Source organism: Homo sapiens, chromosome 7, assembly GCF_000001405.40.
Source record: "Homo sapiens chromosome 7, GRCh38.p14 Primary Assembly".
NCBI classification, from domain to species: domain Eukaryota; kingdom Metazoa; phylum Chordata; class Mammalia; order Primates; family Hominidae; genus Homo; species Homo sapiens.
In genome coordinates, this window is record NC_000007.14 from 122,283,505 (window position 1) to 122,300,737 (window position 17,233).

Consider the following 17,233-nt stretch of genomic DNA (forward strand, 5'->3'; position numbering starts at 1 on the left):
GCAGAGTGTTTTCCAACTTGGTTCCATTCTCCCCATCACTTTCAGGGACACCAATCAGACGTAGATTTGGTCTTTTCACATAGTCCCATATTTCTTGGAGGCTTTGCTCATTTCTTTTTATTCTTTTTTCTCTAAACTTCCCTTCTCGCTTCATTTCATTCCTTTCATCTTCCATTGCTGATACCCTTTCTTCCAGTTGATCGCATCGGCTCCTGAGGCTTCTGCATTCTTCACGTAGTTCTCGAGCCTTGGTTTTCAGCTCCATCAGCTCCTTTAAGCACTTCTCTGTATTGGTTATTCTAGTTATACATTCTTCTAAAATTTTTTCAAAGTTTTCAACTTCTTTGCCTTTGGTTTGAATGTCCTCCCGTAGCTCAGAGTAATTTGATCGTCTGAAGCCTTCTTCTCTCAGCTCGTCAAAGTCATTCTCCATCCAGCTTTGTTCCGTTGCTGGTGAGGAACTGCGTTCCTTTGGAGGAGGAGAAGCACTCTGCGTTTTAGAGTTTCCAGTTTTTCTGTTCTGTTTTTTCCCCATCTTTGGGGTTTTATCTACTTTTGGTCTTTGATGATGGTGATGTACAGATGGGTTTTTGGTGTGGATGTCCTTTCTGTTTGTTAGTTTTCCTTCTAACAGAGAGGACCCTCAGCTGCAGGTCTGTTGGAATACCCTGCCATGTGAGGTGTCAGTGTGCCCCTGCTGGGGGGTGCCTCCCAGTTAGGCTGCTCGGGGGTCAGGGGTCAGGGACCCACTTGAGGAGGCAGTCTGCCGGTTCTCAGATCTCCAGCTGCGTGCTGGGAGAACCACTGCTCTCTTCAAAGCTGTCAGACAGGGACATTTAAGTCTGCAGAGGTTACTGCTGTCTTTTTGTCTGTCTGTGCCCTGCCCCCAGAGGTGGAGCCTACAGAGGCAGGCAGGCCTCCTTGAGCTGTGGTGGGCTCCACCCAGTTCAAGCTTCCCGGCTGCTTTGTTTACCTAAGCAAGCCTGGGCAATGGCGGGCGCTCCTCCCCCAGCCTCGCTGCCGCCTTGCAGTTTGATCTCAGACTGCTGTGCTAGCAATCAGCGAGATTCCGTGGGCGTAGGACCCTCCGAGCCAGGTGTGGGATATAGTCTCGTGGTGCGCCATTTTTTAAGCCGGTCTGAAAAGCGCAATATTCGGGTGGGAGTGACCTGATTTTCCAGGTGCGTCCGTCACCCCTTTCTTTGACTCGGAAAGGGAACTCCCTGACCCCTTGCGCTTCCCAGGTGAGGCAATGCCTCGCCCTACTTCGGCTCGAGCACGGTGCGCGCACCCACTGGCCTGCGCCCCCTGTCTGGCACTCCCTAGTGAGATGAACCCGGTACCTCAGATGGAAATGCAGAAACCACCCGTCTTCTGCGTCGCTCACGCTGGGAGCTGTAGACCGGAGCTGTTCCTATTCGGCCATCTTGGCTCCTCCCTCCGCCCCAATACTTTTTAATATCATGATTTACTTTTTTTTCTAAAAAGCCAACATGGTCTCATTATTAGTTACTTTACTTTTCTATTGTTTTACTCATTATTTTTTCTCATTACTCATTATTTTTTAATTTTATTTACTCTAAAACTATTTCTTCCTACTTACCTAAGCATTTTTATCTAAATTATCTTCTTGAGATTCACTCTTTTTTTTGCATGTGGCAGTAATTCATTTATTTTCATTGCTGTATACTATGAGGTTATATATATATACTGCAATTTATTTATTATTTTCCTGCTAATAGACATTAGGGTTGTTCTCAGGTATTTATAATTATAAATGTGCTATTATGAATTCTTGTACATACCTATAGAAACCTGTGTTCCAAAAACTCTTTAAAGTATGTAGCTAATGGAGGAATATCTAGATGATAGAAAATGTGTACAGGCAAACTTACTAGACAATGACAAAATATTTCTAAAGTGATAAATAGGTAACTTTCTCATTAGGAGGTTATAGTGTTGAGGATGACCTGAATATTCACCATCCTTGCTATTCTAACAATTTTAATTTTTTCAGGTGGTTTGGTATGAAATTGGATCTCACTATGGTGATAATTTGTATTTTGATCATTGTTAAGAAGGTTAAGCATTTTTCACATGTATATGGGCTTTTTATTATTTTCTCTTCTGTGTAATTCCTTTTCAAATGCTTACTCACTTTTCTATCAGTTTTCTTGTCAATTTTTTTTATAAGCTTCTTTATATATGTTGGTTACTATTAGACAATTATGTGTGTTGTTTTAGCTGTTATGTGTTGCAAATACCTTCTTCAAGTATATAGTATGTTTGCTTCCTACGGTGTTTTCTGATAAGCATAAGTTCTTAGTTTTAATGTAATAGAATTTATCAAACTTTCCCATTCTATTTTTAGCAATATATATTTATTTGTTAATGAACTCTTATTCCAAAGTCTTAAAGAAACAATAGAAAAATATATTTTAAATATTGTAATATATTTTCTTTCACATATAAGTCTTTGATTCACCAGAAAATAGTTTTTATGTGTGGTCTGAAGTAAGGATCCAATCTTATTTTTTCCACGTTAACATCTTCACTCAACATTATTATTGAATGGTTTTTCCTTTCTTTGCTGGTCTTCTGCAGTGCCAGTTCTTATATAAATCAAGTTTGTTTATATATGAGGTTTCATTTATGGACTCTCTTTCCTGTTCCATTTTTCTATTTGTCTATCCCAATGCAATCATCTGTCATTGAAAGATGTGCGAAATGCACAATTTCATCATTGTGTGAATATCATAGAGTGTACTTACAGAAACCTAAATGATAGAGCCTCCTACACACCTAGGCTATCGTATAGTCTATTGCTCCTAGGCTAAAAGCATGTACAGCATGTTACTGAACAGTTGTAGGCAGTTGTAATGTAATGGCCAGCATTTGTGTATTTAAACATAGAAAAAATACAGCAAAAATACAGTATTATAATCTTATGGGACCACATAATACATGATGTCCATCACTAGCCAAAATATGATTATATGGCACATAACTCTACCAATATTACACTGATTTCAATACAGCAAAGAAAAACGCCTTAGATATTTCCAGTAGACAGGGATCAAAGTGGAAAGCTATTTTTCAATTTACTAAAACAGCTGATAGAGCAGAAGATATGGGGTAGCGCTGGGCTTAAATTCATATTATAGCCAATTTTGCTATAATTACTGCCAACATTATACCACCCATATATACATCAACAGCAATTAGACAGTAATGCATGAAGTTGAGAGATAAAAAGACTCATATCTGCAAGTCTGTCTGTCAGCTACAATCACTTTAAGAAGAATGGCTTTCCACTTCTTTCAGTCTTCCACGTCTTACTCAGATATACTTCATTTGTAGAACCTAAATTACATGTGTACTCTGGCAGCAAACATGTCTCAGAAATGTCCTTAGCTTCTGTCACCTGCACTACAGTGGAAAGAGGGTGGAAACAGATGTCAAGTGCCAGTAGGCAACATCCAGCAAGGTCTACTCCATTTGACTAGTCAGTGTCTATACACAATCTTTTAACATGAACTTCCAAGAAACTGCAACATTCTCCTGCCTAACACAATACAATAATCGCTCATACAAACTAAACTAACTTTATCTTCTCCTCAAAAATGACAGATCCCAAATTCTATGCCTATTCTATCTATCTACAAGCTGAGGAGCAAGGAAGCCAGTCCGAGTCCCAAAGGTGAAGAACTTGGAGTCCCACATGTGAGGGTAGGAAGCATCCAGCATGGAGAAAAATGTAGTGTGGGAGGCTAAGCCAGTCTAGTGTTTTCACACTCTTCTGCCTGCTTTTTATTCTGGCCATGCTGGCAGCTGATTGGATTGTGCCTACTCAGATTAAGGGTGGGCCTGCCTTTCTCAGCCAACTGACTCAAATGTTAATCTTCTTTGGCAACATCCTCACAGACACACCCAGAATCCATACATTGCATCCATCAATCCAATCAAGTTGACACTCAGCATTAACCATCACAGCTAGGGAGAGAGATTGATTCATAACCCCAGAGCAAGTAATCTTGTTCACCTGATGATCAAAAAATTTCATCCTAGTTGATACCCATTAGTGACCAATCATATGGGACATAAATATCCTAACATTCTGGGCCCATTAAGAAATGTCCATTTTACCATTCTGTTTTCTAGGTCTTCTTTTCACAAATTTTCCAATCATGTTCCATTTCAGTCCTTGACCGTGTAGACAAATAATTAGCTGTATCTTGTGAATAAATGTAGATACATATTTCTTGCCTTTGTTCCTTCAAGTGGGCAACAGATGTATTACTCGAAATTTCTTTTTAAAAAGAGAATTTCCCTTATCCACTGTCTCTGAAGGTTTTGTCTACTTGGGATTATAACGCTTCAGGGTTTCACTTCTAACTGGTGTTAGTGTGAAGCAGGTTGACAGTGCACTGGTTACCGCTTCAGCCCATTGCATCTTGGGCAGCATTTCTTCTTCTTCTTCTTCTTCTTCTTCTTCTTCTTCTTCTTCTTCTTCTTCTTCTTCTTCTTCTTCTTCTTCTTTTCTTCTTCTTCTCTTCTTTTCTTCTTCTTCTGCTTCTTCTTCTTCTCTTCTTTTCTTCTTCTTCTGCTTCTTCTTCTCTTCTCTTCTTCTTCTTCTTCTTCTTCTTCTTCTTCTTCTTCTTCTTCTTCTTCTTCTTCTTCTTCTTCTTCTTCTGCTGCTGCTGCTGCTGCTGCTGCTGCTGCTGCTGCTGCTGCTGCTTCTGCTTCTTCTTTCTTCTTTCTTCTCTGGTGTTAGTGTGAAGCAGGTTGACGGTGCACTGGTTACCGCTTCCCCCCTTTGCATCTTGGACAGCATTTTCTTCCTCTTCTTCCTCCTCTTCTTCTTCTTCTTCTTCTTCTTCTTCTTCTTCTCCTCCTTGTCCTTCTCCTTCTCCTTCTTCTTCTTCTCCTTGTCCTTCTCCTTCTTCTTCTCCTCCTTCTTCTTCTTCTCCTTCTTCTTCTTCTTCTTCTTCTTCTTCTTCTTCTTCTTCTTCTTCTTCTTCTTCTTCTTCTCCTTCTCCTTCTCCTTCTCCTTCTTCTTCTCCTTCTCCTTCTCCTTCTTCTTCTTCTTCTTTTGATAACGAGGTCCTTTTTTTTCCCTTAAGTTCTGTGCAGAATGTGCAGGTTTATTACATAGGTATACATGTGCCAAGGTGGTTTGCTGCACCTATCAACCCATCATCTAGGTTTTAAGCCCCACATGAATTAAGTATTTGTTCTAATGCTCTCCCCTCCTTGCCCCCCACCCCCTGACAGGCCACTGTATGTGATATTCCTCTCCCTATGTCCATGTGCTCTCATTGTTCAACTCCCACTTATGAGTGAGAACATGTGGTGTTTGGTTTTCTGTTCCTGTGTTAGTTTGCTGAGAATGATGGTTTCCAGCTTCGTCCATGTCCCTGCAAAGGACATAAACTCATTCTTTTCTATGGCTGCATAGTATTCCATAGTATATATGTGCCATATTTTCTTTATCCAGTCTATCATTGATGGGCATTTGGGTTGGTTCAAGTTTTTGCTATTGTAAATAGTGCTACAATAAACATATGTGTGCATGTGTCTTTATAATAGAATGATTTATAAACCTTTGGGTATATACCCAGTAATGGATTGCTGGGTCAAATGATATTTCTCATTCTAGATCCTGAAGGAATCACCTCACTGTCTTCCGCAGTGGTTAAACTAATTTACACTCCCACCAACAGTGTAAAAGCATTCCTATTTCTCCAGAGCCTCACCAGCATCTATTGTCTCCTGACTTTTTAATAATCACCATTCTAACTGGTGTGAGATGCTATCTCATCTTGGTTTTGATTTGCATTTCTCTAATGACCAGTGATGATAAGCATTTTTTCATATGCCTGTTGGCTGCATAAATGTCTTCTTTTGAGAAATGTCTGTTCATATCCTTCATTGAGCAGCATTTTCTACTACTTGCATGGGTCTTGTGAAACAGAACACTCACATCAGTTAAGCAAAGCAACTTTATTACTCACAGATAGGCATCAGGGACAGTGGAAGCCTAGGATTCATAGTGAGCCAGTCCCCAAGCCTCAGGAAAGCTACATATGGCAGAAGGAATCCTGTCTGCATGTGCTCCATATCACATCAGTTTTATACCCTGGGGGTCACATGAACCACCGGGCTAAAGCAATACAGGACTTCCTGTCTTAGGACACACAGGAATAGAGTCAGGGATGTTTCAGCCAGTTCATCCTTATCTCAGGATGTTGCATTCCCAGTGTATTCTACAGTTATTCTTGAGAACTGCAAGTGAGAAAGAGGGAGGAGCAAGGTTTGTCAAGGCTATACAGAGAACTGTCCTTCAGTCAGCATATCATGCAGAATGATCTTTAAACTAGGTTCATTTATTTTCCTTCCCTCAGTCAATACAGAATGTCCCCAAGGGCCCAAAACTATAGATTAAAATATAAGTGACATGAAATCTTGGACCACCTGTTCTTGCAGCATACTTGTGTTTTTAAGATTTAATTACACCAAATTTCAAACCTACCACTTCCTTTTGGTAATGGAATCATGCTATGCATACCAAACTCAGATTAAAAAAAGATTCCCTTAGGCTTTCTTGTAAAATAGGTCTGGTCTTCCTTTTTATTATTTTTTTTCCAACTCTACATATTTTCAAATAGCTAGTCTTCAACCTCACTTGTTCCTTTTCTCTGACTCATTCTGATGTTGAGAGCCTCTATTACCTTTTTCAATTTAGCAAGTGTATTTCTCAGTTCCATGGTTTCTGTTTGATTTTTTTTTTTAATTTTAACCTCTATGCTACATTTCCCAGATAAATTTCTTAATTGCTTTTCTGTGTTATCTTGGAGATCACTGAGTTTCCTTAAAGCTGTTATTTTGATTACTTAGAGAGTTCACATATCACCGTCTTGTTAGTGTCAGTGACTGGTTCCATGCTTTTTCCATTTGAGGATGTTATGGTTCTCTGTCTGCTATTGTTTCCTGTGGATGTATGTCTATTTTTTCACATTGAAATATGAATTATTTATCCATCTTCTCTGTCTGGCTTGTTTTGGTTTTTATTGGATATGTTTGCACAGAGATTCTTTGTAATTTATGTGTTGATTTTCTTTATTTTGTTCACACTTGGACACTGTCTCCTTTTTGGCATTAGATGGCACCTTAAGCCCAGGTTTGCCTCAGCTCTAGTTAAAGACTCAGAGTACCACCCATTCCACATGGGATAAGTCCAAAGCGGGGATAGCCTGGCAATGTGGAAGGTTAGCTAGGGGTTTATGCTCAAGGGACCTGTCAAATGAACCTCCTACAGCTTGTGCTGCTGAACAGCCACTCCAATTTGGAATCTACTTTTGTCAGGTTATAGAGCAGAATTTCCAGAGCTAGGGATGGTAGTCTCACCTCTCCCCATTGTTTCTGGTTGTCCTCAAGGATACTTCTTCCTTCAGACACTCCCAATGCTGCCTATGGGCTAAGTCAGGAACAGGTCTCCTGCCAGGTAGCCCAAGATGATGGGAAAGCTGAGTGTCCACCTCCATATTACTTTTTCCCATATTAATTTTCCATGAGTTTGGTGCTGGGCAGATTGAGGGGAGGGGCACCACAGTTATGAAAATCCAATTCTCTTACAAGCTGTTGGGAGTGTTTCACTTCTCTGTGGCCCTGGGAACTGTCTCCTTCTCATATATGAGTTCTGGAATATTGCTGGTAATAATCTTGGTGCTGTATATATTTTGTTGGTTTTCTATTTGAGGCAGGGAGTGAAGTCAGCTTACTTCTATGCTGCCATTTTAGAATTTGAAGTGAACGTTGTGCAGTAAAAATTGCGCAGGCATCATGAGAATTCACATAGCTCTGTGGTAAGAAGAGGAAAGTGTATTGCTACCCCTGCCAAGTAAAAGCAAATGTTGTCAGGCAATCTTTACTCATCATCACCAAAGAAAAGGAACATTTTCCAAATTGATAGCAGTATGCCAGGCCCATGGGATATGTTTAATTACTCCAGAAGAAACCATAACTGGGACACCAGCTAAAATTGGAATCATCCCCTGATTAAGTTGCATGATTCAAGTATCATTTTCCAAAATTGACTTTTCTTTTACACAGGCCAAACAGATGAATTTATAAACATAATTATACTTGTATCTTATGTGTTTGGTATTAATATTTGAAACTATCTCAAAATATTCAGCAGGACAAAATATGACTTTTGAGATTAATAAAAAAAGTTTTTCCTTACAAAGCCTAGATTTTAAGACATCTAACTATAGATCCAAAAGACTAACTCTGAAACTCAAGGTACAATAAAAATACAAAGATAATCTTATTGTTCAAGAAATATATTTTCTTCTCTTCCCTAAGATTTAAGTCTTTTATTGAAAAAAATGGCTTACATACAAGAAAGATACAGATGGTGATAAAAATACTCCTGTTAAAATCACTTCCTCAGGAAAGCTTTTACAAACAACCACCTTTTTCACTCTGACTTTATTAGATCCTCCTTTCAGAAACTCTTACTTCTTTTTCATACTATTTTCTATGCTTATAATTATTTATTATTTCATATTAAATACATTATGGTTGAGATCCATCAAAACATAGACAATGTTCTTTATTGTACCACTATTGCAATAGCATTTAGTACAAGTCCTGTCTCATAATGCACACAATACATTTTTGTTGACTGACTGATTTAGCTTTCTTAGTACTTCTCAAGTTTTTCTTTCAAGTTTCCATTCTAGGTGTCCTTTAAGTTCTGTGATGAAGACTGAAACAATGCACTACATACTTGAAATTTATTTGATTTCTCATGTAATATTTTAAACTCACCCTGTAAAATATCGGTACTTAATTGAATAGGAATATACATGTATTTGAACTGTATAGCTATGTATTAAGATGCACCAAGGATTATCCAGTAGAATTTAGCATTTTCTGCCAATTACTTTGTGTGACATTAAGGATAGTCCTGACTTCTAGCTATTTCTTTTTTAATCATACTAGTTTTCCAACTTTTTGTATGCCACATTTGATATATTGATTAGGTAAATGCCTTGAAGAAATGTTAATTGTCTCAAAGGCAAAGAGTGCCCAACCAACTTAATCATATAGTACTCCATTGTCTACCATTAGCCATAAAAACTCTGTAACTTTCCTGATTGTATTACTGTAGAATCATTTAATTTAATATAATTTAATTATTTAATTTTTTTGAGATGGGATCTCACTGTATTGCCCAGGTTGGTTTCAAATTCCTGGGCTCAAGAGATTCTCCTTCCTCAGCCTCCTAATTAGCTGGGATTACAAGGTCATGCCAATGCATCCAGCTGTGAAATCTTTTTTTTTCTTTACAATTAGGAGTTCCTTCTTATATTTGATATCAAATTGTGAGTTTTAAGAGTGTAATTTCATTTCTGATTGTGGGGATATTGAAAAAAACCAGCCCCCACTGGCTAATCATTATTGTAAAGTAGAGCCATGCCTGGTTCTGGTTCTGGCTCTCATAAGCCATACTCCTTTAGTTTACCAGGACATTAACTGTCAGGGCTTGCTGATTCCAATATTTCTCTGTTATGATAGCTTAAAGTGTCTTTGTCTTGGAGTCACCATGGTCCAGTCTTCTTCTGCCTTTTAATTCTGTCTTCTAGTTCTGTCTTCTGACTGCTGGGTGACTTTGAGCATGTCTCTTCACCTCTAAAATCCTCAAAATTCTCAACTGTAAAATGATGCTGTTAAGTGTGGTCTAACTCATAATTTTTGAAAGATAATCAAATAAGATCATACATATAAAAGCTTAAAACATATAAAACAAGAATGTGACCGTGAGGCAAGTACTGCAGGTGGCCTCTCAATGCTGGAAAAAGCAAAATTTCTTCCCTAGAGTCTCCAGAAGGAATTCAGTCTGACCGGCACCTTAATTTTATTTTGCAACCACTAAGGAAAGGCCCTGTGAGCACACAGCGAGAAGGTGGCATTTTGCAAGCCAGAAAGAGAGTCCTCACCAGGAACTAAATCTGTCAACACCTTGATCTTGGATTTTCAGCCTTCAGAACTATGAAAAAATGACTGTCTGTTGTTTAATATATATATACATATATATGATTATATGTATTTTATATGATAATATATATAAAATATGTAATAATCTTGATTTGCCAGAGTATCAATTTAGGTTTCTAGTGACCTGTCTTAGAGTTTATGGATTTTTTTTTTCTTCTGCATTGTCCAATATGCTATTAGAGACATCCAGTAAAATTTCAGGTTTATTTTTCAGTTTTAAAATTTTCATTTGTTCTTGTTTTATAGTGTCTATTTTCCTGCTGAGATTACCCATATATTTACTTATGTCCCATTTTTTTGAATTATTGAAGATTTTTATAACAGCTGTTTTAATGTCCTTGCCTGCTAATCCTGACATCTTTGTCAGATTGGGATCTCTTTAAATTGCTTATTTGTTCTCCAAATTATATGTCACATTGTCTTGCTTCTTTATATGTCTATTAATTTTTATTGTGTGCTAGATATTATAGATTTTATATTATTGGGAGTCCAGATTTTTATGATGACAGTTCTGCACAGTCTATTGCTAAATACCTAAAACAGATGCTTCACATATGTTGCCTAGTTTTACAGTTTTTTGTTTGTTTGATTGAGTGGACTATGAATTAATACCCAGATGAATAGGTCAGTTAAAGAGGCCAAACTGACCCTATTAGAACCTGCCCTGGGAACTAGAAGCTTTAAGTAAGGTTTTCTCAGTCTTGGCACTATTGACATTTTGGTCCAGAAAATTCTTTATTTTATGGGACTATCCTATACATTTAAGAAATTTTAGCAAATTCCCTGGTCTCTATTAGGTAGATGACAGTTACAACCCTATACATATTTATAGGGTGGAACCTATATATGTTTCTTCCTTACTATCTGAAATAGCTTTAATAAATATAATTTTTCTATTGTCTTTGGCCCTCAATTTTCCCTTCTTCTTACAAGAGTAACAGATCCATTGGTCTCTTCCTTTATATCATTAACTGATAATTATTGAAAGGCATCTTTTATGTCTCTACCTCCTTTCCCATTTCAAAATTTCTGCATATCTTATTTTACTTAATTTTTAAACTTTTTCACAAAAGTTTAAAGCTCTATATAGTAATGGTATTATTCCTGAAATCAGATTTAAAAAAATGTAAAAAATACAAGTAATGCTTCAGGGTTATAGGGTTATGAGTGTTTAGGGAAGAATTTTTGTGACATGGTACAATTCACTGGAGGAGTTGTTTAAAACTTTTTGTTTTAAACAAAACAATTTAAGACTTGAAAGTATTCAGAATGTATAATACAATCTTTATCATCATCCAGCTTTAATGATTATCAAAAGATTAATATTATAGCTCTTATTTGATCTATATGTATACCTATTCCTCTTCTCCAATATTATTTTTAAACAAATCCCAGAAATCTTATCATTTTACACTTAAGTAACAGAATACAGAGCTCTAAAAAACTATTTTAACACAAAAGTATGCTACATTTTTCACATCTTAAAAAGTAAGCATAATTCCTTAATTTTATTAAATGCCCAGTGTTCAAATTCCCAGTAATTTTAGATGTAATATGTGACTTTATTTTTACAGTTTATTCATTGAATTGGGATTAAAATAAGATTCACATGTAATAATTGATTATTCTTTTTTTTTTAAGTCTTTTTAAAAAATAGGTTTCCTTGTTCTCTCTCTTTCTCTCTCTTTCCTCTCTCTGTCTCTCTCTCTCTCTCTTCCTTTCTCTATTCCTCTACTTCTCTCTCTTCCTTACAATTATTTGTTGAAGAAACTGGGTTGCTGGGTTGTTTATCCTTTAGAGATTCCCAAAATGTAGATTTTGCTGAAATTTTAAAAATGTAAGTCCACTTTTATTAAGAGCTTTGTGTAAACAAGTTACACTTTTGGAATACTGCACCCACTGCTATATCACAAACATACACTACAAACATACAAACATAGTGTATGTTTGCTATGTACTGAATGTTTGTGTCCCCTCAGAATTCATTTGTTGATGCCCTGATCCTGAATATGATGGTGTTTGGAGATAGGGCCTCTGGGAGGCAACTAGAGGTAGATGAGGTTGTGAGGGTGGAGCCTTGGATGGGATTAGTGCCCTTATAAAAAGAGAAAATCAAGAGCTTGCTTTCTCTGTCTCTCCCCAGGAGGCACAAGAAGAGGTCATGTGAATGCACAGCAAGAAGGTAGATCTGCAAACCAGAAAGAGAGCTCTCACCAGAAGAAGGCCATGCTAGTATCCTGATCTGAGACTTCCAGCCTCCAGAACAGTGAGAAAAACATTTCAGCTGTTTAAGTCACCCAGTCTATGATATTTTATTACAACAGTCTGAGCTAACTAAGACACACACTCCAGATTTGGTTATCATATTTATTATATTTAATTGATAAGTTACATTTCCATTGTGGCTTGTCAAAAGACTTCACCTTGTTATTGTAACTAGAGAGTCATGCATTGATCTAAACTTTCAGATTTCTCAGACAAAAAGAAAAGTCTTCATTATTCCTACTAAGAAGAACAAAGCTAAATCAAACTGATGATCTTCTCTACATTTTGTGATAGATTTCTAGCTCTAGTTAGAAACTGATACCTCATGCTTTCTTTCTCCATTCCCACACCTTCGTACCCAGGAGCAACATTTGTTTGTTTGACAGCAAAATATTAACCCTGGAGACCTGTCCTGGCAGAATTTTATTTAATCTTTACTTAGTAACTTAATCTCCATAAGACCAACAGTGACATGATTTCATTTGACACCAGTGTCACCTCAGTCTTGAACAGAAAATGTGCATAATGATTTGTAATAACTTTATACTCATTCAATTACATGATGAATTTTGACTTTTTCTCCAAGATCATTATAGGCAACATGTAGCAATGTATGGAGAAAATTACAATAACAGAGATAGGTTTTCATATCAAGGTCATTTAAACGCTAGGCATCCTCTTCGCTTTTGCATGGAGGGAGATAACCTAGGCTAGCTTGAACTGGCAATTTCTTTAACACCAAAATCATGCAAATAACCAGTGTGTTGAATAGTATATCACTATTTGTCTTTAGTTTGTCCTGAAGCTGAAATGGACACACTGCATTAATTTCTAGAAGCAATTAAAATCTTTTTTTTTTTTTTTTTTTTGAGATGTAGCTCTGTTCTTGTTCTTGTTGTCCAGGCTGGAGTGCAAAGGTGCGATATCAGCTCACTACAACCTCTGCCTCCGGGGTTCAAGCAATCCTCCTGCCTCAGACTCCCAAGTAGCTGGCGCCTGCCACCACACCTGGCTAATTTTTTATATATTTAGTAGAGACGGGGTTTCACCATGTTGACTAGGCTTGTCTTGAACTCCTGACCTCAGGTGATCCACCTGCCTTGGCCTCCCGAAGTGCTGGGATTACAGTCGTGAGCCACCGCACCCAGCCAGCAATGAAATTCATAGCAAGGTATTTTCTACTCACAAATACAGTTTGTTATCCAGATTTTAATTAACCCAATGGACACAAATAACTTCTTGTGTGAGAGTAATCTGTGGCTTTAACAAAAATATAGCAAAAAGACAATGTTTCATTGGGTTCAAAATTACTTTTTATCTCAACAGCCAACAACTTCATATTCTTACCCATTGAAATTTACGTTGGTTTTAATTTTAATGCTTTTTAAAATGCACTCTCTTTGGTAACAACAATAAGTTGTGGGCCCTTAAAATCATAAACTTCATGAGTAACAGATTTACCCAGTACATAGGTTTATAAAGTGAAAAAGAAAACATTTTTGTTTCTGCTCCAATTTTGAATTTGAGATCACTGTATTTTATACTGCAAGTGTTACAATAAATACTTTACAAGGCAAAATATACCCACTACAGTTATACTTTAGTTAATTCTGAGTTGTTACCAGTTCTAGCAAAATTAGGATTTCTGATATTGATGAGGGAGAAATCTATGAAACAGGATACACACATTCTGGGAATTATGACTTCATTGCATCTTGTAGATTAATTTCTTCCATACTTGAAGAGGAGCAAAGTTCCACAAGAAACTCACTAAGCTTCAAGCATCACTAACAAGTAACAGCTTTGATGAGTCCCATATGCAATGCTTTCATTTACTATTAAAAATTGACACTTTAGTCTTACTCTTGCATAATAACTTGTTCTTAAACTAAAATTTGGGAAATCTAAACAAATTGTTACCTTTGGAAGAGATTATTGGAAATCAGGATTTGGGTTCTGTGTTAAAATAAAATAGATAGGAATTTGTCTGGGTGTGGTAAGACACATGTAACATGCCTGTAATCCCAGCACTTTGGGATTTGGAGGCAGGAGTATCACTTGAGCCCAGGAGTTCAAGACCAGCCTAGGCAACATGGCAAAATCTTGTCTCTACCAAAAATACAAATATTAGCCGGGCATGGTGGCATGTACCTCTGGTCCCAGCTACTTGGGAGGCTGAGGCAGGAGGATCGCTTGAGCATCAGAGGTAGAGGCTGCAGTGAGCCATGAGTGTGCCATTGCACCCCAGCCTGGGTGACAGAGCAAGACACTGTCTCAAAAAAATTTAAAAAAAATATAGGAAATCACTACTTACAATGTGAATTATGTTCTATGCTCTGATTTCCAAAACCGAACTAAATATAAGGTCTCAGTGAATCACCAAGTTTCTAAAATTAGTCTCTGCTGCCCTTTCCAGAGGAAGGCCACCTTCCTTATACCAAAAGTTAATTCCAACAGAGGGAGCTGAAGATAAACCATTTCCCTCAGCAGATAATCTGGACAGTGGCCTCTCTTCCTCACTAAACATGAGAGAGTTTGCTGGCTCATGTCTGATCAAAAGAAGGTGGACTGGGACAAAACCAAGTTTCAATTCATACTTTTAGGGAAGCTGTTTCATGAGCAAGCATAAAAATCTATATAAGACACGTGTAACACAGAGACATGCACACACAGAGACATACACACATGCAGAGGTTAGATAGTTGAAGGAAAAAAATCACCTTTCAATATTAGTTGAGGCGAGAGAATTGTAAGGTCTTTCCCTGACTATTAGCTAAGTGTTCCACTTCATCAATTTTTTTTCTCCCATAAACTTAATCCCTAAGCTCATACTCTCTTTAAGAAGATTCTCCTTGATGTAAGCTCTAACAGCTTTATCATAAATCAAAGTTCATTGATAATTTACCTCCGGAAAAGTAGTTCTCTTGAGTGCTTCATTTTAGAGAATTTCCTTTTGGCTTCCTCTACTTAATCACCAACACTCCCAGCTGCTCAAACATGTGAGCAGACAATAATTTCCTTGTGCCTGCCTTAACTGGAACTATTGCACCATCCCAGATCAGACCTTATAACAAAGTCATTCCACATTACAATGTGGAATGTACGATAACTGATTCTCTATTTTTTCTGTTTCTTTCCTTCTCTTATTCTATTCATTCTCATCTTTTCTTCTTAGGCTTTCTTTTTCCTCTCCTCATCTTTCTCCTCTCCTCTCCTCTCCTCTCCTCTCCTCTCCTCTCCTCTCCTCTCCTCTCCTCTCCCTCTCTCTCTCTTTCTCTCTCAACCTCCCTCTCTTTTCTCCTTCTCCCTCCTTTCTCTCTTTCTTTTTTTCTGGATTGAAACAAACCAATTATATTATTCCATAGAAGAGTACCCCCAACCCCAATATGTCAAAGTACACTGGCCTGGGGTATTTAATGGTTGAGTAATCTTCCTCAATAATATTCATTTTGCTTTCCACCAGTAAGATCGTGTCATCTCGAATGTCTAGAAGAATCTACACCCTGGGTTTTGAGAATAAGTTCAAATATGTATTGACAAGTTCAAGAAGCAAAGGCCATTTTCTGCTTTTTCACTGAAATGTATAGGTTGCAAATTATAACGACTCCTGATCTCATTCACATTTACTCAAACCGAATGCTTTAAAAATCCAACTAAGCTACTTTGGAAAGGGTGATTCATAAACTCTGCAGCATCTCTCAAAACTCCTTCGTGACAGGCAGCTGTCATGGAATGTGGCCAGAGCCTGAGACAAGATTATCAAATCAGCTGTGATATTCTGTGAGAGATGGAGCTACTTAGGGCCGCATAGATTCGGAATCCAGCCAACTATGGAATTCCAAGACCCTCGCTCCCTCGCTTTCCGAAGTCAAATCTAACATGGATTTGGCCCCAACAGTGGGCAAGGTCGGGGCATGAGGTCAGGAAAGGAGAAACATCGGTTTTCGATCTAATAATGGCTGGGCTGGAGCTTGTTCCCTGTGTCCAAAGGGCGTGCGTACTAGCACAAGCGTTGAGAAAGGTCTGGACCCGATGTCTGCAGGAAGTGTCAGGACCTCCCTGTTCTGGGGACCTTCCCAGCCCACACCAGGTCCGTGCTCTCTAGATTCCCCCAACCTCGCTCCACAACCCGGAAGGAGCTCAGGCCGGACTTGGCGTGAGGGTCCCTGCGGGGCTGGGTCACCTACCCGTCCGCGATCACCCCACAGGGGCTGTTAGTAATCTCCCTGCTTCCTAGGCCGTTGAGAAGCACTCAGGTCACCCACTCTCGGTGACCAGAGCGGTCAGTCTTTCCCCGCCATGAAATGTGAGTTCGGGTGGCAGCCGCCGCGCCCCTGCAGTGTCCCCTGCACATCTCCGGTCTCGGTCTCGCCTTTCTCAGCTCCGCGCCGCCTTTTCCTGGGCGCCGCAGGACTCATAGAAGTGAGGCGGGGCCACAGATTTAAGTTTATTCCCCGCAACTGTCGGGGCGGTCCCGGAGCTGGTGAGGACGCGCTACGGTGGGTGCAGAAAGGAGATCCCTGGACTCTGTAGAACCTGGGCCCGCGGTGTGGACCGATGGTGGATTCTCCGCGACAACAGCCCTGGAGGGAGAGAGTGGGCCGGGGGAGGGGCCACGGGGCCCCTGAGGCCTGCGGGGCTGGCCGCACTGGCCCCGGGCCTGGCGGGGTGGTGGAGTCCGAAGCGGCGAGGCGAGGACCCCGGGGCCCGCTCCCCCCAGTCGCCCTCCCGGGATGTGGCCCCGCTGCAGTAGCACTACGGTGCTGGGCTGTTTGTCTGGCAGCTTCTACTGAGCAGCTAATAGTATAACAACCCGGCTTTGATAAATCTGAACTAATTACCCCTCTTAATTAAAGTCTTTAGCAGTTGTTTCATTGTTTTGGCAAGAAAACAGGAGAGACGT

The 17,233-nt window shown here is 39.0% G+C and overlaps 1 annotated feature.

Moving 5' to 3' along the window:
- Nucleotides 557–1,162: an enhancer, noted in NCBI's record as "H3K27ac-H3K4me1 hESC enhancer chr7:121924115-121924720 (GRCh37/hg19 assembly coordinates)". NCBI's record gives its function as "activates a minimal SCP1, AML or CMV promoter by ChIP-STARR-seq in primed H9 embryonic stem cells {active_cell/tissue: H9 hESC(primed)}" and the evidence as "EXISTENCE:reporter gene assay evidence [ECO:0000049][PMID:30033119]".